We start from the raw sequence: 21,997 nt of genomic DNA, 5'->3' as shown, positions 1-21,997 counted from the left end.
GGAGGCGGAAGTTGTGGTGAGCCGAGATCGCACCATTGCACTCCAACCCAGGCAACAAGAGCAAAACTCCATCTCAAAAAATAAAGTCTACTGGTCGGACACGGGCACGGTGGTTCACGCCTGTAATCCCCGCAGTTTGGGAGGCCAAGGCAGAAGGATCACTTGTGTCCAGGAGACCAGCCTAGGCAATATAAAGAGACTCTGTCTCTATAAAAAGAAAAAATAAAGTCTATCAATTCAAAAAAATAACAGGCTACTTGAATAGATGAGACTGGCTCACACGTAACAGAGGACATGCAATAAGGCAGTAGGTAAGCAGGTCTGCAGTGACATGGTTCAGGATCCCAGGTGCAATTATTTCTTCCACTTCCTGTGATTCCTCACATTTTAAATTTTAAGGCAGTGAACTTCACAGCAATAAGGACCAACTAAGAATAAGCCTATGAAATTGGCTTGCACACCATCAGCACTGTATCTATCTAAATAAAGTCATAAATAAATAAATGTGTTCTTTTTAATCCTAACCTTGGAGAAATTGAGAAGAGAAAATGAAACACACATGAGACAGGTGATAAGGAGAACACACCTGCCAGTTTGAGAAGAGCCCTCAGCAGCATCGGCCATTTGGCAGTGGTGGCAAATGGAGTGAGCAGAGACTAAATATCTGCATTCCACTGGTGGCCATGATAGTAATAGAAAATGCGTAAGGCGAAAGTGTTCTCACAGGACCATACAGGGAAGTGAATCATCCTGGATCACACATGTCTGAGATCCTGAGCTTCACACCTTGGGTCAGATGTGTGTTGTCAGCTGAGAAACTGAGCTGCATTCTTGAGCATGAGCCAGACGCCTTGACAGATGGTAAGTACCTGCTCCTCCGGGCACCCATCATCTAAGCAGCCTGGCAGAAGGATCCCAGCTCCCTGTGCCCAGCTGGTAATCTTCTTATGTCCTGGGGCTTAAGGAGTGATAGCCCTTTGCAATTGTTCTTTCCAGGCAAAGCTTAAAGCTGAGAAGTCTGCTTTACACTTAATTGTTTATAGTAAGAAAGATGGATACGGATAGACAGACAAGCCAGGGATTGGAAAGGAAAACTGACAATATCTGACATTGCTTATTATTAGAGTTTCAAAGCATTTTCTCATCCATTTGCTCTTTTGATTATTACAACCAACATTTGGGAAAGCAGGAAGGAATCATTCCAATTTTATAATAAACCAAAGAAACTGAGATGCAGAGAGTTGCCCACAGCATGGCTAGTAACAGGCAGTGCATCCAACAGGACTGGATTGCCCAGCAAACTTTCTGCACCCAAATAAAATACAGGTTCTGCCTGCAGGGGTCTTGGCTCTTTGGGGAGTACACAGAGACACATTTTTTAAAGTTACTTAGAACTTCGGAGGAGGCAGAAAACCACTATGGGCTCAGGTGGTCTTTGTGAAAGAGGAGAGAAGACAGGGAGAGTCTCTCAGGCAAGAGGAAAATTGAGAGTCAAGCCACATGGCTTGTCTAAGAGAACCCCCAACCTGCAGCTGACAGCTCATCTTGGCGAGAATCCAGAGAAGGCGACTTCAGAGATGAAGGTGAAGGCCAGGTTGTGAAAGGCCTTTAATGCCAGGCTAACTAAGGGGTTGAGCTTTTTTCTCATCACCAAGAAGGGGCCATTAAAGATTCTGAAGCAGCGGGGAATCTGTACCAACTAGGCTTTCGGGGAAAGATGACTCTGAGGGAAAAGAGAGGCAGCAGGATGAGGAGCCCAGGTACGGGTTGGGAGGACTGGAAGTGGGAAGCAGGAGAGAGGTGGTGGGAAAGTGGAAGGGAGTTGGAGTGGAAGGAATTGAGAGGAAAGGACCACAGTGCAAGGCAGTATGAAGAAATAATGGCACCCCTAAAGTTAAGTTTGAGATTTGGGATGGATGTGGTTGGAAGTCCCTAGCAAGTCATAAGAGATGATGGGCTGATGGTCAGGAGAAAGGTCAAGAGACATTTATCTGTGTAGATATGATCATTGAAGTATTAGAAGGGATAAGAAGGTTGAATGGGAATGGAACACTGAAACTTGGGTCCTACTAACTTTAAGAAGTTGGATCAGAAAGGCAAGCAAGAAAAAGATGTAAGAGATGGGAAGAGAAGCAGAACAGAGGGAAGGCAGCACTCCCAAGAAGTCTTCCCAATCAGGCCCCTGGCTCCAGTTGTGCCCGTTCCCTTCTTTACACCAACTTCCTCCCTGTGTCTAAGCTGGGTTCATGTCCCAGGTCCTGCCACACTCCAGAAGTGTAGTATCAAGTTAGAGACTTAGAGACATCTGCGGAAGTTTACTAGTCTTGTGACAATCCAGAGCAAAGTCATGAAAACCAGACAAAAATAGTTTCAAAAAGGAGATGTGGGACTGGGCACTGTGGATTTGAGAGGTTGAGGCAGGAGGATTGCTTGAGGCCAAGAGTTCAAGAACAATCTGGACAATGTAGGAGACCCCATCTCTGCAAAAAATAAAAATAAAAACTAGCCTGGCTCAGTGGCATGTACCTGTGGTCTCAGCTACTCAGGAGGCTGAGATGGGAGAATTGCTCAAACCCAGAAGGTTAAGGCTTCAGTCAGCTGTGATCACGCCACTGCACTCCAGCCTGGCCAACAGAGCCAGACCCTGTCTCAAAAAAAAAGTGGGTGAGGGGGGAGATATTGGGCAATAAAAACTGCAAAGACAGAACAAGTAGGAAGGCAAAAGAGAAGAATTGCTTCAAGGGAGCTGTTTCAGGTAGAATTCCAGGAGCAGGCTGAAAAGGTGAAGGTGCTAAGGAGGATATGGATGGCACAGAAGCAAATGTTCAGCATACTCCCTACTCTTTCAAGAAGTTTTGCAGAGAAGGGAGGGAAAGTGTGGGGAGGAATTGTCAATGGAAAGCAAGAGAAAAAGAAGATTCTTTTTTTTTCTGAGACAGAGTTTTGCTCTTATCGCCCAGGCTGGAGTACAGTGGCGTGATCTCTGCTCACTGCAACCTCCGCCTCCTGGGTTCAAGAGATTCTCCTGCCTCAGCCTCCTGAGTAGCTGGGATTACAGGCGCCCACCACCATGTCCAGCTAATTTTTTTTTTTTTTGGTAGAGACGGGGTTTCACCATGTTGGCCAGGTTGGTCTCAAGCTCCTGACCTCAGGTGATTCCCCTGCCTCGGCCTCCCAAAGTGCTGGGATTACAGGCGTGAGCCACTGCACCCAGCCAAGAGAAGGTTCTTTCAGATACTGTAACATGGTTATAATTAGGCAGAGAGTCTCAGCCCTTCAGCTGATAAACAACTTCAGCAAAGTTTCAGGATACAAAATCAATGTACAAAAATCATTGGCATTCCTATAAACCAACAACAGTCAAGCTGAGAGCCAAATCAGAAAGGCAATCCCATTCACAATTGCCACAAAAAAAGAATAAAATACCTAGGTATACAGCTAACCAGGGAGGTGAGAGATCTCCAACACTGCTCAAAGAAATCAGAGAAGACACAAACAAATGGAAAAACATCCCATGCTCATGGATAGGAAAAATCAATATTATTAAAATGGCCATACAATCCAAAGCAACGTACAGATTCAATGCTATTCTTATCAAACTACCAATGACATTGTTCACAGAACTAGAAAAAAGAAACTACTTTAAAATTAATATGGGGTCAGGCGCAGTGCCCAATGCCTGTAATCCCAGCACTTTAGGAGGCTGAGGTGGGTGGATCACCTGAGGTCAGGAGTTCGAGACCAGCCTGGACAATATGGTGAAACCCCGTCTCTACTAAAATTACAAAAATTAGCCAGGTATGGTGGCATGCACCTGTAATCCCAGCTACTTGAGAGGCTGAGGCAGGAGAATCGCTTGAAACCAGGAGGCAGAAGTTGCAGTGAGCCAAGATTGTGACACTGCATTCCAGCCTGGGCAACAGAGTGAGACTCCAAAACAATAATAATATGGAACCAAAAAAGAGCCTGAATAGCCAAGGCAATCCTAAGCAAAAAGAACAAAGCCAGAGAAATTATGGTTCCTGACTTTGAACTATACTACAGGGTTACAGTAACCAAAACAGCATGGTACTGGTACAAAAACAGGCACATAGATCAATAGAACAAAATAGAGAGCCCAGAAATAATGCTGCATGCCTACAACCACCTGATCTTCAACAAACTAGACAAAGACAAGCAATGGGGAAAAGACTTCCTATTCAATAAATGGTGCTGGGATAACTGGCTAGCCACATGTAGAAGATTGAAGCTGGACCCCTTCCTTACACCATATACAAAATCAATTCACAATGGATTAAAGACTTAAATGTAAAACCCAAAACTATAAAAATCCCACAAGACAACCTAGGCAATACCCTTCGGGACATAAGAATGGGCAGAGAGGCTGGGCACGATGGCTCACGCCTGTAATCCCAACACTGTGGGAAGCTGAGGCAGGTGGATTGCCTGAGCTCAGGAGTTTGAGACCAGCCTGGGCAACATGGTGAAACCCCGTCTCTACTAAAATACAAAAAATTAGCTGGGTGTGGCAGTGTGCGCCTGTAGTCTGAGCTTCTCTGGAGGCTGAGGCAGGAGAATTGCTTGAACCCAGGAGGCGGAGGTTGCAGTGAGCCAAGATTGTGCCACTGCACTCCAGCCTGGGCGATAGAGCGAGACTTTGTCTGAAAAAAAAAAAAAAAAAAAAAAAAAAAAAAGAATGAGCAAAGATTTCATGACAAAGACACCAAAAGCAATCGCAACAAAGGCAAAAATTGACAAGTGGTATCTAATTAAACTTAAGAGCTTCTGCACAGCAAGAGAATCTACCAACAGAGTAAACAGACAACATACACAATGGGAAAAAATACTGGCAAACTATGCATCTGACAACGGTCTAATATCCAGCATCTATAAGGAACTTAAATTTGCAAGAGAAAAACAAACAACCCCGTTAAAAAGTGGGCAAAGGACATGAACAGACACTTTTCAAAAGAAAACATACATGCGGCCAACAAGCATATGAAAGAAAGCTCAATACCACTAATCATTAGAGAAATGCAAATTCAAACCACAGTGAGATACCACCTCACACCAGTTAGAATGGTTATTATTAAAAAGTCAGAAAATAACAGATGCTGCTAGGCTGCAGAGAAAAGGGAACATTTATACACTGTTGGTGGGAGTGTCAATTAGTTCAACCATTATGGAAAGAAGTATGGCGATTCCTCAAAGAGCTAAAAGCAGAACTACCATTTGACCCAGCAATCCCATTACTGGGTGTATACCCAGAGGAATATAAATCATTCTACCATAAAGACACATGCACGCGAATGTTCACTGCAACACTATTCACAATAGCAAATACATGGAATCAACCTGAATGACCATCAATGACAGATTGAATAAAGCAAATGTGGTACATACACACCGTGGAATACTAAGCAGCCGTAAAAACGAACAAGATCATGTCTTTTGCAGGAACATGGATGGAGCTAGAGGTCATTGTCCTTAGTAAAGTCACACAGGAACAGAAAACCAAATACCACATGTTGTCACTTATAAGCAGGAGCTAAATGACAAGAACTTATGAACACAAAGAAGGAAACAACAGACACTGGTGTCTACTTGAGGGTGGAGGGTGGGTGGGGGGAGAGGAGCAGAAAAGATAACTATTGGGTACTGGGCTTAATACCTGGGTGATCAAATAATCTGTACAACAAAACCCTGTGACATGAGTTTACCTATGTAACGAACTTTTACATGTAACCCTGAACCTAAAATAAAAGTTTAAAAAAAATGGAAAAGAGGGTAGTCATTACCGGGGTAGGCAGAGGGAGGAAAAAGCCCTTAAGAGAAAGATCAGCAAGCTAAGGAAGAGGAGGAGGTGTGCAGGCTGGGAGTTGAGCCCCACTGCCCTCCTCCTTTATAGGGCAGCAGCAGGATGCAGGAGAGATATCAGCCTCCCAAGCATCACTTCTCAGGAATGCAGTGGAGCTAGCCCTGCTAACTGCAATACTATGACAGGGATTCTGAAAGGGCATTCCTCTTATAATTAAATACCTAGGTACTGGGAGGCAAATAAAAATCATAATAAAAGCCAACAGTAATGAGTTTACCGGCCAGACACGGTGGTTTATATTTTAATCCCCGCATTTCAGGAAACCAAGATGAGGCGGGAGGATCGCTTGAGCCCAGGAGTTTGAGACAAGCCTGGGCAACATAACGAGACTCTGCCAAAAAATTAAAATCAACGAAACTAGCCAGGTATGGTGCCAGCACCTGTAGTCCCAGCTACTCGGGAGGCTGAGATGGGAGGATCACTTGAGCCCAGGAGTTCGAGGCTGCAGTGAGCTGTGATAGCACCACTGCACTCCTGCCTAGGAGACAGAGTGAGACCCTGTCTCGAAAAAATTTTTAAACATTTTTTAAAATTAAGAGCTTATCTATTGTCTGTTACCATTATGCCAAGGGCTTTACTTTGACCATTTTTTTCAGTTCTCAAAAGAATGCTACAGATTTAGTAGTGATGCAATTACCCCCATTTCACAAATGGGGAAACTGAAGCTTTAAAGAGGTTAAATACCATGCCTATGTCTAGGATGTAAGCAATGGAGCTGGACATCTTGGGGACTCCAGGACCTATGGTCCTAACCATGGTTCTTGGGATGGCTTACTGCCTCCCAGGGTGAGCTGGAGTAACTGGAGTGAGTGGACCCAGACAGGACAATTAAGCATTCCTAAAAGTGGAGCATTTAGTACGTGCAGTGTCTTGGTGCAGCATGAAGGCCAGAGAAGATGCAATGAGATAGATTAGTGTCAGGTCCTAGTTGACTGAATGGCATTTTGATCCAATATTTTAAAAATCCCTGGATTCTGTTATAGGGGCTCCTCACTTTAAGGAAATCTGATATTCAAAATCCAAACTGAAGTAGGAATAACAGCTTGTTCATTGAGCAGCTACTGTGCACCTTGGCATCACACCAGGAGTTTTCTAAACATGACCTCACAACTGCACAATTCTGCCAGGCGAAATTATTAGCCATATTCCCAAGCCAGGCACTATGAGCTGAGTTGTGACTTCCAAAATTCAAGTGCTGAAGCCCTAAGCCCCAGTGCTTCTGAATGTGACCGTATTTAGAAATAGGATCTTTAAGGAGGCAATTGGGTTAAAATGAGGTCATTAAGGGTGGACCCTAATCTAATATGATTGATATTCGTATACGAAGAGGAGATGAGGCCACAGACACAGGACACAGACACACCCTGAGGGGTGACCACGTGAGGGCACATCAAGACAGCAGCTGCCTGCAAACCAAGAGAAGCAGTCTCATAGGAAACCAACCCAGCCAACACGTTGATCTCAGACTTCCAGCCTCCAGAACTGTGAGACAATACATTTCTGCTGTTTAAGCCACAGTCTGTGGTACTTTGCTATGGCAGTCCTAGCAAACTAATGCACCAAGGAATCGAGTCTGAAAGTCTAGTTTTTGTCCAAAATCACGAAGACTGTGTCAGAGCTAAAAATGCAGTCTGTGCTACTGCAAAACTTACACAACAGAAGGGCCCTCTCCTGTACCAGAAGGTTTGCTCCAGGCTTCTGAGTATCAGCTACACTGTTTCATCAAAACACAATTCATTTGACAAAAGCCACTTGCCCTTCTGGCAAAAGAGATCTCAAGCAAAGAAAATTCTACTGATTTCACTCATGCCCCCTTGTAGATGGTGATGTTTCTATAATGAAGCATTTAAAGATTCTGATCCCATGTCAGAAAATCTGGATGGACTGTTATATATGAGAGAAAAACTACGTTTGCATATCGATCAATGAATGAAAACAACCTGAGAAATGGAAACCATTTGATTTGGTGAAGTAGGAGCAAATGAAGTAAATTTTTAAGTAATGTTTATTTCCCATGTTATATAAGGTTATCTGAAAAACAAACATTTAAAATTTTTCCTTTTAAACTTTTTTCACATTCATATTTAATACACCTTTTGCACTAATTGCCAGAAATTAACACCCCTCAAAACGTGTGTGTGTGTGTGTGTGTGTGTGTGTGTATGTATATTTTAGATTGAGTCTCACTTTGTCGCCCAGGCTGGAGTGCAGTGGCGAGATCTCTGCTCACTGCAACCTCTGCCTCCCCAGTTCAAGCAATTCTCCTGCTTCAGCCCCCCGAATAGCTGGGATTACAGGCGTGCACCACCATCCCTGGCTAATTTTTTGTATTTTTAGTAGAGATGGGGTTTCACCATGTTGGCCAGGCTGGTCTCGAACTCCTGACCTCAGGTGATCTGCCAGCCTTGGCCTCCCAAAGTGCTAGGATTACAGGCATGAGCCACCTTGCCCGGCTCTATTTATATATTAAAAAGACCTTTATAAATTTAAAAACTTAAAATATATATTATAAAAGTATCATACACATGTGACAATAAAAATTCAAATAGAATTTTAAAAATTCAAATAGGACTGAAGGGAACAAACTAAAATATAAGTGGTTGCCCAAGAACCATCTTTAAGCATCTCTGGGTTTTAGTTCTTGCAATGATTACTTCTCTTTGTGACACTGTGTTATTTTGATCTTGACATTTTTAAAGAAAACATGGATTGACAGATACAAATGTCTTTGCATATGTCAAAATACTTTTAAAAATAAATAAAGGGGAAAAGAGCCTCTCAGAAATGGCCACTAGGTGGTAGAAGTTGACTAAAAACTGCTTTATTCGGTAGAGCCATCTCGATTGCTGCCCGCGACTTTTTTCCTCTAGGGAGAAGGGATTTCTTCAGGGTCTTCTCCTGAGATATCCAACATCTCCTCCTCGAGCCCCTTTGCTTAGAATGCCCTGTAGCCATTTTAGACTGCACACAAATGGAGATAACACAAGCAACTTCTCACCTTCCAGAGGGCAGGACAAGATGAAGAAGGAAGATCTTCAAAAGTGAAAGGTTAAGAAAGACAAGTACACACCCATACACACACCAGTCCTACCAAGGCAATGGTGACAGCAGGAAGAGATGGCTGCTCTTCCTCCAGAGCAGCTGTGATGCAGACCCACCTGTCACCCAAGAAGGAGAAAAGTGAACAACAGCTTCTGCCCTAGTGGAGCCTGAATTAACTCATAAGTCGAAATCCCCAGAATCTCTTTGCGCTTTGGTCTGTGCTATTGTACTTAACACACGCTCAATAAAGACTTATTGATTTGACTTAATCTCAAAACCACATTTCTAAAGCACCAAAGGACTATCTTTTGATTCATTAGATGTTTCTTGAGCTCACACAAGTGCCTAAACAACAGGGGAAAAGGTCGTAAAGATAAATAAAATAAAAGCCTTCTGTATTTTTTTTTTTTTTTTTTTTTTTTTTTGAGACGGAGTCTCACTCTGTCACCCAAGCTGGAGTGCGGTGGCGCAATCTCGGCTCGCTGCAAGCTCCGCCTCCCGGGTTCACGCCATTCTCCTGCTTCAGCCTCCCGAGTAGCTGGGACTACAGGAGCCCGCCACCACGCCCGGCTAATTTTTTGTATTTTTAATAGAGACAGGGTTTCACCGTGTTAGCCAGGATGGTCTCGATCTCCTGACCTCCTGATCCGCCCGCCTCGGCCTCCCAAAGTGCTGGGATTACAGGCGTGAGTCACCACGCCCGGCCAGGCTTCTGTATATTTTTCTATATGGCCAAAATGTTTAATGATTCTAAAAACTGAGAACAAACACAAGCAAACAAGTCAAAGGAAGAAAATGTTTAAATAAGAAAAATAAATGGGCCGGGCGTGGTGGCTCACGCCTTTATCCCAGCACTTTGAGAGGCCGAGATGGTCGGACTGCTTGAGGTCAGGAGTGCTTGAGGAGGTCAGCCTGGCCAACATGGTGGAACCCCTGTCTCTACTAAAAATACAAAAATTAGCTGGGCATGATTAGCACCTGTAATCCCAGTTACTCAGGAGGCTGAGGCAGGAGAATCGCTTGCACCCGGGAGGCGGAGCCTGGGTGACAGAGCTAGACTTCGTCTCAAAAAAAAAAAAAGAAAAGAAAAGAAAAGAAAAATAAATATCAATAACCCCTTCACACAAGAATTTTATTCCTACAAATTTATCCTTAGAAAATATGTCAATAGAGGCAAAAACTACAAAAGTGAAACTATAAATCTAAATAGCCAATGATTAATAGTTAATTGTAACATTAGTTTACTAGATCATTATCTATCCTTACAATCATTTTGAAGACTATGAAAAAATGAGTCATGCATAATAAGTTTACAGGTTTTTTTAGACATGAATATAACTAAGTTCACTAAAAGGCAAGCAGACTAAGCAGAATAATGTGTCTTCATAACAGTATGCCGATAGTAAGATCCAGAAATTGACTGAAGCACTGTGTTTTCATAAGAAGTACTAAGGATTCAATCTCCCAGCCCATGGCCCACAAATGTGATATGGTTTCACGCCATGGTTATCTTTTGTTTATTATCTTTGTTCTACAGTTGCCATAGCAGTAAAATTTATTTTCAATAGAATTATTAAAGTTTTCTTTGCTAACTAAAGCTTATTTTTGTTTTGCAACCATTAGCAATGTAAATTTACTCCCAACTATGCCAAACACAATGTTTACATTTTGTATCAAATTTTAAGCCTGTAATAAAATGTAGGTATTTATAACCATATAAATGTCCTTCTTCTTGGGCAAGATGAGGGGTTTATTTACCATGGCAGGGTCCAGGTTCTTTTGGCAGTCGTGGGATAGACTATGCCATCCCAAGGATAAAATCAGCTATTTATGCCAATGTTTACATGGGAGAATGAGTGACACTTAAATTCATGCTCTTAAAAAAAAGAAAAAGTGATCCACTTCTGGATGTTATTTGCGTAGATTTTGGCAAGGAAAAACTGAGCTTCCTTGGGCTAGGTCCAGAACCTGCAATCCCAGGACCTCTGCGAAGACCTAAGGGCAGCAGAGGTTGATTAAGCCCAGCAGAGAGATCTATTTCCTGGCTGATTCACAGACATAGCCTTCTAAGTCCTACAAAGTCTCACAGTGTGCAGAGGAGGAAAAGGAGACAAGTTCTGTTGAGAAGAAAGCTAAGGGGTTCTCCATACCTTTCCCATTAGGCTGGAGGACTGACATTGACATCATTAGACCAGCAACTTTATGACCACTGAGTTCCCAAATCTTTAACTTCAGCCTATACATTTCCCCCTAAACGCTTTTTGCTCTAAAATCAAGAGAAATGTATATAATGTGTCTGATTCAGTGGTGCTTTCATATATATGCCATATGTATTATATATATTTCTCAAATATGTATGGGTACATACATTTGTGTACATATTATATATTCATATTTATATAAAAGCTATTTAACTGCTTTAAAAGGATGAGATAGCCCACCAGAAGTTTTGTGATTATGATAAGTGGAATTAAGTCAAACTTTGGTCTTTCAAAATAATAGACAATCAATAACCTGAAATTAATAACTTTTCATTTACACCTATACCAAAATAACATATTCATAAATATAATGAAAAAGACAAGAATGTATAAACTGTGTGTGTATATGTGTACATACGTGTGTGTTTGCATGCACACCCACTAAGAATATGTAAACTGGGTGGGAAATTAGTCTTATAAGAAAAAAATTTTTTAATTTGAAGGAAAATGTAAACTCAAAAAACAATACATATTATTATTATACATTCCCTCTGATAAAGCCTAGAAATCAGTTTAATAAAGGAATATATTGAAAGAGATGTTTAGTACAGTATTTTAAAGCTTGTTTAAGACAGCAAATTCTTTGCAAATGGGAATTAGAAGCTAGGTGCCTATTTCCAGGAAAGAGAGTTCTGTATTGAAAAAAACAAAGGACGTATGTGCAAATAAATAATCACTTCCATTAAATTGAGGGGTCAGAGACCAGCTTGGCAGCTGCAACAAAGAAAAATTTGTCATCAAAACTCTTTGGCCCTTCATTCCTAAAATAAATTTGGAGCTAATTAGCTTTCAAGACTTTTCCGGGTTTTTTTCCACAGTGACAAGACAAAGAAACAGACTTAAGATAAAAACCAGATGTCAAAGTTTACTGGTCATTTGTTCATGTACATTATATATTTATATGTCTATGTCACTGTTAAAGTTGCGGTTTGGCAAAGTTGCAAACACAGTAGGTGAAATAAACTTCGTGGGCCTTATTCTGATTGTGATTTGCCTTTCAGCGTGGAAGGTGCCATGTGCTAGCATGGCTGAATTCCTCCTGGTCTGAAATGCATTTTACTACTCTGTTAAATGTTGCTTAGTACAGCTGCCTTTGGCGGCTCTTACAATACAAAACAATTCTGTAAAGACTTCCAGAAATCACAGAGAGCATTTAAATTACATCAGCTCTTTTCCATCGGTATTAGATCTGCCTACGGTGATGACACTGTTTCCTGTCAAATGGTGAATCTGGGCTACTCAGTACTTGCTTGGAGAATACAAGAGGAAAATATAGCTATATTTTTCCCATACGGATATCAGTGAAAACCCAGGAAAAGGAGAAATGAAAAGATAAGCAGGACACATTCAAGTTTTTCAAGGACCTCTGTTTAATTTCTGCAGGATCCTGAACCCATGTCTATCTTTGCTTACTAAATAATAAATGTTAAGCTCCACGACAAGCAAATGCGTTTACAACAAGAGGTCTCTATGCAACTAAGAGCCATGGTCAGCAGCTGATTCAAGATCCCAAAATACTATACTAGAGAGGTCCTTGAGAAGGTGCCGGATGGAAGGAAAGGGTAGATAAAATGCATTTGAATAAATGAATTTACATTTGAATAAATATTTTTACTACAGGCTCTAGAACTTTCTTTACTTACGATTTTAAATGAGATGTGGCTGAAGGCACAATAGGACAATTCTCCTACTAAATGGTTTGTACCTCCAGGTTTCTATACAAATAGTTCTTCCCTCAAAAAACCGGCTAGGTTTCTGAGTGTTTCTCTGTTAGGGTAAATATGGTATACCATAGTGCTTGACTTACATTTCATGGAGTCATCTAGGACACAGAGTTTTTTTTACTTTTTGGTTGTTGTTGTTCAATTATCTGTCTCCTCATAGGATCTACTTTAGAGTTCCAAATCTACCAAGTATACAAATACGAAATTTGATCCTGTCAACTGGCATCCATTTTCCTTTTTTTTTTTTTTTTTTTTTTGAGACGGAGTCTCGCTCTGTCGCCCAGGCTGGAGTGCAGTGGCGCGATCTCGGCTCACTACAAGCACCCGCTGCTGGGTTCACACCATTCTCCTGTCTCAGCCTCCCGAGTAGCTGGGACTACAGGCGCCCGCCACCACGCCCGGCTAATTTTTTGTATTTTTAGTAGAGACGGGGTTTCACCGTGTTAGCCAGGATGGTCTCCATCTCCTGACCTCGTGATCTGCCCGCCTCGGCCTCCCGAAGTGCTGGGATTACAGGCATGAGCCACTGCTCCTGGCCCCATTTTCCTAACAGTTTTCATGGGAAAAGGCGTTATAATTTCCTTCTGTAGTTTCTCGAAATGTTATAGAGCACACTCACAGACAAGGCATTCTTGAGCATATACAAGACTTTAGACGAACTTTCCCACACACCAAATTTCTAGCTCATTTTTCTAAACTCAGAAGAAATAGAAAAATTGTTATATCTTTCATTGGACTGCTTTTTCTGTTACTGGGGTTTATTTGCAGTGATCACAGTTAGGGGTTGGTTGGTGAGATAGTTTGGATATTTGTCCCCACCCAAATCTCAGGTTGAAACAGTAATCCCCAATGTTGGAGGTGGGGCCTGCTAGGGGTATTTGGATCACGGGGGCAGATCCCTCATGAATGGCTTGGGCCATCACCTTGGTGATAAGTGAGCTCTCACTCAGTTCACACGTGATCTGGTTGCTTAAAATTGTGTGGCACCTCCCTACCCCAACTTGCTCCTGCTTTCACCGTGTGATGTACCTGCTCCCCTTCGCCTTCTGCCATGATTGAAAGCTTCCTGAGGACTCCCTAGACGCCAAGCAGGTGCTGGTGCCATGCTTCCTGTGCAGCCTGTAGAGCCGCAAGCCAATTAAACCTCTTTTCTTCATAAATTACCCAGTCTCAGGTATTTCTTTATTGCAATGCAAGAATGGCCTAATACAGTGGGTTTTTGGTGGGCAGGAAGGAAATGAATGACAGCTTCATTTCCAAATACAACAGTCCCCGCTTATCTGCAGTTTCACTGTCCATGGTTTTTAGTTTACCCTTGGTACAGTGCAACAAAGCATTCTGAGAGAGAAGGAGGCCGCATTCACATAACTTTTATTAAAGTATACTGCTATAATTCTATTTCATTATTAGCTATTGTTGTTCATTTCTTACTGTGCCTGACTTATAAATTAAACTTTATCATAGGTATGTAGAGGGAAAAACAGTATGTCTAGTGTTCAGTAGTATTTAAGGTTTCAGCCATCCATTGGGGTCTTGAAACATATCAATACCCCATGGATAAGGGAGGCTGCTATAGCTTCAGAGCAGACACTTCTTTTATGTCAATCCAGTGCACAATTACCCCTTTTCTCCAAGGTCTGTCCCCACACACCCACTAGCTGAGTTCCTGGCAGCCCTTCTATATTAAGAGACCTATGTCCCTAACCTAGCTGTTTCTTGGGGACTATGGAATTATGATCTCTGTGTTTGGCTGAAACTACAGTGATATAATCTTGGAAGAAAAGAATGAAGCAGATGAGGCCTGGGAATTCCTGATGGCTTCTTGCTTCCTGGGTCTTGGCCCTCAGGAATGCAGATATCCTTCACCAGCATCCTTCTAATAACTCCCTTTTTGAGTAAAATAATTCCACATGGTTTCTATGCGAACATTGACTAAGAAAGACTATATTTGTGCCAACATATTAAATGATTCATTTTGTAAGGACTATTTCATGTACAATGCAAATAAAGAAAGGAGGCTCAAATATTAATAGAAGAGTATTTAACAATTTTTAAAGGTATAAATGTAGAATTTATTCCTTCCACCCTCACTCCCCAAATAAATAGCCCAGTGCTGATATATTAATCTTCATAATAACATTGTCACATGGCAAGAGACATATTTCTTTCCCCCCACCACCCTCTGTTAAGAAGACTGAGACTCGGGGAGGGAAAGCATTAGGAAAAATAGCTAATGGATGCTGGGTTCAATACCTAGGTGATGGGTTGATCTGTGCAGCAAACCACCATGGCACACGTTTACCTATGTAACAACTCTACACATCCTGCACATGTACCCCAGAACTTAAAATAAAAATTTAAATTAAAAAAAAGAAGAGGCCGGGCGCAGGGGCTCACACCTGTAATCCCAGCACTTTGGGAGGCCAAGGCAGGTGGATCACGAGGCCAAGAGATCAAGACTATCCTGGCCAACATGGTGAAACCCCATCTCTACTAAAAATACAAAAATTAGCTGGGCATGGTGGCACACACCTGTAGTCCCAGCTCCTCAGGAGGCTGAGGCAGGAGAATTGCTTGAACCCAGGAGGTGGAGGTTGCAGTGAGCCAAGATCGTGCCACTGCACTCCAGCCTGGCAACAAAGTAAGACTCCGTCTCAAAAATAAATAAATAAATAAAATTAATTAATTAAAATAAAATAAAGAAGACCACAGACTAGAACCCACGATTGCTGACTCGGTCCAGATTATTTCCATACACAAGTTAAAGCATGTGGACCACAAAAATAAAAGTCTTTACAAAGACACTGGGGAAAAAAGTGTTCATATGTAGAAAAAAATAAAGATATTCTGGGGGGGAAAAGGGCTGGGAGTACAATTTGTATATTGACTAAACCAGTTTTGTAGCAAAGCCAATAACTGTCTTTTATTTGTTTGTTTGTTTTTGTTTATTCTCCTGTGGTGCCTTCAAAATATAATTATGGAGATAATTTCCTCTATCCCTGAATGGATACTTGGGCAAATCTCATGACTTCTGCATTCACTCTTAGATAATGGATGGTTCTACAGTGTTAAGATCATAAAATCAGCATTGGTTTAGTAACTTGTACAGGTTCAGTCCAAGATACTAACAAGCCATTCAGTCCTCATTCAGAGTCTTTCTCTTCTTGGCTAAGTGAGGTCTAAAGACTGCCTGCTTTGGAGAAGAAGGTGTGGGCGTCTTCTCCTCTTCTGCATTCTCCCACTAGCTGCTGTTTGGGGCCCTTCCTGGGGAGAGGCAATGGATTCTACTTAGCTGGGTGGCTCCCTGCACTCTGGGCTTGACACAGTGAAAGCAAACTCTTACTTCCACGAAGCAATTTCATGGGCTTTTGTTTTCTTTTTAATTACCCAATTGCTGAGGCCTCTCACCTAATTCTCAGGCTTTGAACAAAACATTCCACCCCCCAGGCTGCTTTTCCCCACTGTGCACTCCACATGGCTTCATGCTGCTGCAGACTCCACCCTTCCCAGTGGCTCCCCAGGCAGCACTCACAAACTGCTCTCGCCAGCTCTCCCGCGGAGGGGCCTACTCTGGGGGACAGGAAATATTGAGAGACCTTGGCCTTGATATTCCAGAGGTAACAGCACGCTCCTGACCTCACTGCTGGTTGGTGAACCTGCCTCTTAGCCCCTCCATTTCCTAAGGTGTCAACCCCATTCTGAATGTGCCCCAACTTCAGCAAACACAAATCAAGCTCATGGACAATCCTACTGAAGCCCTTTCCCCAGCCACGGGCGGAGTGGAGGAGAAGAGGAGAGTCTGGAGACAAATACGCCTCCTCTGACTATACTGGAATCCCCCTCTTTTTCATTACTTTGTATGTGGTATTACATACAACATAAAACTTAGCATTTTTACCATTTTCAAATGTATAGCTCGGTTGTATTAACTATATTCACACTGCTGTGCAACTATAACCGCCGAACAATCTCCAAAATTCTTTTAATCCTCCCACACTGAAACTCTGTACCCAGAGTTTCTAACATGAACTCCCCCACCCCCGACTCCCAGTCCCTGGCACCTACCATTTGAACTTCCTGTCTCTATGAATCTGACTTCTCTAGGAACCTCATGTAAGTGGAATCATACATTATTTCTTTTTATGACTGGCTTATTCTACTGAGTACAATATCCTCAAGGTTCATCCATGTTATAGCACGTGTCAGGATGGAATAATATTCCATTGTGTGGAGAGACCACACTTTGTTTTTTCATTCAACCATCAGTGGACACTTGAGATGCTTCTACCTTTCAGCTATTGTGAATAATGCTGCTCTGAACATGGGTGTACAAACATCTGTTCTCGTCTCCTTACCCCTGACCCTTTCTAAGTTTTGCCCACGTGGGGTTCAGTCTTAACACTCATTTTTGTATTTGTTGTCCATTACACATTAGTGTCTCAACTGATATCACACAAAAAGAAACACATCTAACATTCTGTTAGGTCAAGACCCAAAGATAACCTTAGGCTCTATTCAAAGTCCTCTAACTTTTTTTTTTTTTTTTTTTTGAGAGGGAGTCTCATTCTGTCTCCCAGGCTGGAGTGCAGTGGCACGATCTCAGCTCACTGCAACCTCCACCTCCCAGGTTCAGGCAATTCTTCTGCCTCAGCCTCCCAAGTACCTGGGACTACAGGCACGTGCCACCACGCCCGGCTAATTTTTGTATTATTAGTAGAGACAGGGTTTCACCATGGTGGCCAGGCTGGTCTCGAACTCCTGGCCTCGTGATCTGCCCCCCTTGCCCTCCCAAAGTGCTGGGATTACAGGCGTGAGCCACCGCGCCCAGCTGTAAAGTCCTCTAACTTTAAACACTGCACAGGTCTTAACCCTCTGGGGAGGTTTTCCTCTGGAGGCTCCTGTCTGCACTTCCTAGTTAAGGTTTTCGATATGGATTGGTCCCAGTCAGCTCCTCAAAAATACAACCAAATATTAACATAAAGTTACCATGTGACCCAGCAATTCCATTCCTTGATACACACCCAGAAGAAATGAAACTATGTCCACATAAAAACTTGTAGACAAACGTTTATAGCTAGCATAAAACTCATGACAGCTGAAAAGTGGACACAATCCAAATGTCTTTCCACTGATGAATGGATACTCAAAACTGGCATATCCATTCAGTGAAATACTATTTAGCCATAAAAACAATGAAGTACTGATACAGCTACAATATAAATGAACCTCATATTAAGTGAAGGGCCTACTCTGGGGGACAGGAAATATTGAGAGACCTTGGCCTTGATATTCCAGAGGTAACAACAGCACGTTCCTGACCCCACTGCTGGTTGGTGAACCTGCCTCTTAGCCCTTCCACTTCCTAAGGTGTCAACCCCATTCTGAATGTGCCCCAACTTCAGCAAACACAAATCAAGCCAAACACACAAAAGTGAAGGAGGCCAAACACACAAAAACATACATATTGTATGATTCCATTTATATAAAATGTTCAAAAAAGGCAAATCCATGGGGACAGGAAGTAGATTATTGGTTGCCTAAGGCTGAGGGGAGGGAATGGAGAGTGACAGCAAATGGACACACGGTTTCTTTCCGGGGTGAAGGAAATAAAGGTTCTAAACTTAGATTGTAGTGATGATTGCACAATTCTGTAAGTTTACTAAAAATCATTGAATTATACATCTAAAATGGGTGAATTTCATGATATATAAATTACAGCTGAAAAAACTTTTTTTAAAAAATATAACTCAAATATTTAACAAGTATAATTCATGACATCAAAATACAGTCAGTTACTGCATAGAATCAAAGGCAAGAACTTTCTTTTATTTATTTATTATTATACTTTAAGTTTTAGGGTACATGTGCACAATGTGCAGGTTAGTTACATATGTATACATGTGCCATGCTGGTGTGCTGCACCCACCAACTCGTCATCTAGCATTAGGTATATCTCCCAATGCTATCCCTCCCCCCTCCCCCCACCCCACAACAGACCCCAGAGTGTGATGTTCCCCTTCCTGTGTCCATGTGTTCTCATTGTTCAATTCCCACCTATGAGTGAGAATATGCGGTGTTTGGTTTTTTGTTCTTGCGATAGTTTACTGAGAATGATGATTTCCAATTTCATCCATGTCCCTACAAAGGACATGAACTCATCATTTTTTATGGCTGCATGGTATTCCATGGTGTATATGTGCCACATTTTCTTAATCCAGTCTATCACTGATGGACATTTGGGTTGGTTCCAAGTCTTTGCTATTGTGAATAATGCCACAGTAAACATACATGTGCATGTGTCTTTATAGCAGTGTGATTTATAGTCCTTTGGGTACATACCCAGTAATGGGATGGCTGGGTCAAATGGTATTTCTAGTGCTAGATCCCTGAGGAATTGCCACACTGACTTCCACAATGGTTGAACTAGTTTACAGTCCCAACAACAGTGTAAAAGTGTTCCTATTTCTCCACATCCTCTCCAGCACCTGTTGTTTCCTGACTTTCTAATGACTGCCATTCTAACTGGTGTGAGATGGTATCTCATTGTGGTTTTGATTTGCATTTCTCTGATGGCCAGTGATGGTGAGCATTTTTTCATGTGTTTTTTGGCTGCATAAGTGTCTTCTTTTGAGAAGTGTCTGTTCACGTCCTTCACAAAGGCAAGAACTTTCTATGACAAAATATTCACAGTGACTATCTCTAGCAATTTCACGATAACATTTTTTTCTGTTTCTTAAGTGTATTTTATAAACTTTCTGCATTTACTAGCTGGCTTTCCTGACAACAACCATGTGGTGGCGGCTGCTGTTGTTGTTGTTTTAAATAAAAAGCATGGGTAAATTGATGTATAAGCTTGCAGTGGGGAAGACCTTTCAAAATAAGACAGAAAAGCCAATAGCCTAAAGGTGCTCTGCCAAATTTGCTGTATGAAATGTTAAAAATGCTGCTGCAGCAAAAACCAAACCAAACAAAAACAAGAACTAAACACAAAGTTAAAACACAAGACAAATTGGAGAAAACATTTATAAAATACAATGAAAGACAAAAGCCTAATTTTCTTAATTTATCAAGCTCAGCCAAATCAGTAAATGCTGAACCCAATGGAAAAATCAGCAAAGAATATGAATAAGCAATTGACAGAAAAAGGAATATTAACTGTCATTTTACATATGAAAAGATGCTCAACCTTGTTCACTTTGTGGTGAGAGTATAAACTTCTATGCTTTTTTTTTTTTTTGAGACAGAGTTTTGCTCTTGTTGCCCAGGCTGGCGTGCAATGGTGAGATCTCTGCTCACTGCAACCTCTGCCTCCCAGGTTCAAGCGATTCTCCTGCCTCAGCCACCTGAGTAGCTAGGATTACAGGCATCCACCACCACGCCTGGCTAATTTTTGTATTTTTAGTAGAGACGGGGTTTCGCCATGTTGGCCAGGCTGGTCTTGAACTCCTGACCTCAGGTGATCTGCCCACCTTGGCCTCCCAAGGTGCTGGGATTACAGGCATGAGCCACCAAGCCCGGCCAAATGTGTATGATCTTTTTTAAGGGCAATTTGACAAACTGTACCAATACCTTTTTAAAGTGTAGTTCCACATTATGCAACTTGGCACTTCCACTCCTATGAAATTACCCTGTCGATTACACCAACAAAAATATTCCAAGACAGACATAAGCATACGTTCATTGCAATGTGGTTATAGCGAGAAAACTAAACCCTGAATATCCATGAGTAAGGAAGAAGCTAAATAAATTACGCTACCTTACAAATGGAATTCTATGCACTTTTAAGAAGTATTAATTACATCTAGATGTGCCAATGTATAAATATCTCTGAGAAATAGGAAGTGAAAAAAGAAAAAAGCAGCAGAATGAATATGGAAAAAAATCTATGTTCTACAAATTTTAAAAGATAGTATACACATACATATTTTTTTCCCAGACAGTAATGGTTATCTTTGAAATGAAGGACTGCTGGAAAGAAAGTCTGTCTACTTTTCATTTGGACTTTCCCGTGCTGTTTTGCACATTTTAAGGCTGTGCCTGTAATTTTTTAAATATCCACAAAGGCTAGCTAGGAGGTGGGATTATAAACCATTTCTGTTTTCTTATTTTTTACTTATCCATATTTAAAAATAACTTAATGGATTTGTTATTTCAACAGGTTATTCTTTTCTGCTTGACCTCGAGTTACAGAGATGCAGATGAAGTCAAAGAGGATACCAGATGCAGCCAGTCTGCTGGGGAGGCACGTACGTCTGAGTGGGCCCAGCACAGCTGTTCTCCAGGGCAAGGCTTGGCCATGGCAGCTGCCCCAGCGCCCGCATTCAGCCCAACCCACCAGGTCACCCCAGTCCAGTCCGTGGTGCTCAGATCCCCAAGCAATCACAGGTCAGAGGCGGAAAGAACTACGTGAATGTGTACAGTGATATTGGGCACATGCTCTGAAGGAAGGGAAACCGAAGAACGTCAAGGGGCAGCGTTCAGAGGAGGGGAAAGAATGCAGAGTCTGGGTGTGATCCCTACCTGGACTCTCTTAGAAGCTCCACTATCCTCTTCTCTAATGATCTGTCTTCCCATTCCAGAATTTCTTACCTTAACCTACTTAGCCTGAGTTAAATAAGCATCTGCATGCAGAAATAAATAAGTGAGGGAATTTGTACTTTTCTGCAATTAGCGTGCATTATTTTTCTCATCATAACAAATCTGTTTTTAGAAAACAATAAATGACGGATATAGGCCCACCTATACGAAGTTATGCCTTCTACTGGAGTCCATAGAGAACTTCAGTCAGATCTGCTTTCTCCCACCAGGTAACCCACATTCTCCACTTGGAAAGAAGGGCAGAAGAAAGCAGGGAGATTAAGGACATGACCAGTGATGGGGGACTTTGAGGACTGGCTGCACGTTTCTCCTGGAGAAGGGATGGGGTGGAGGGTAACTTACAAGCGGAGGGGGCGAGAGAAAGGGAAGGAAATAATACTGGTGTGTGCATGCTTTTGGGTCTAGTTAACTAGATTCTCCCAATTTCTCTTCCATCAATCTTTACAGTATTTGCTATGTATTTGCACTACTCACCTCCATCCTGCTGACTTTAT

General features: G+C 42.0%; 2 long non-coding RNA genes across 9 annotated transcripts in view; one reads left to right on the top strand and one right to left on the bottom strand.

Annotated features, from left to right (window-relative positions):
- Positions 1 to 21,997, bottom strand: part of TSNAX-DISC1 (TSNAX-DISC1 readthrough (NMD candidate)) — a 512,620-nt gene that overhangs the window by 428,409 nt on the left and 62,214 nt on the right. The window lies entirely within an intron of this gene.
- On the top strand, positions 774 to 21,572 carry LINC00582 (long intergenic non-protein coding RNA 582). The gene is made up of 2 exons (NR_034037.1): positions 774 to 861; positions 21,064 to 21,572. It is a non-coding gene; the product is annotated as a long intergenic non-protein coding RNA 582 (long non-coding RNA).

Source organism: Homo sapiens, chromosome 1 (genome assembly GCF_000001405.40).
Source record: "Homo sapiens chromosome 1, GRCh38.p14 Primary Assembly".
NCBI classification, from domain to species: domain Eukaryota; kingdom Metazoa; phylum Chordata; class Mammalia; order Primates; family Hominidae; genus Homo; species Homo sapiens.
The sequence above is the reverse complement of the archived record's forward strand: the minus strand, read 5'-3'. Positions and strand labels throughout refer to the sequence as shown.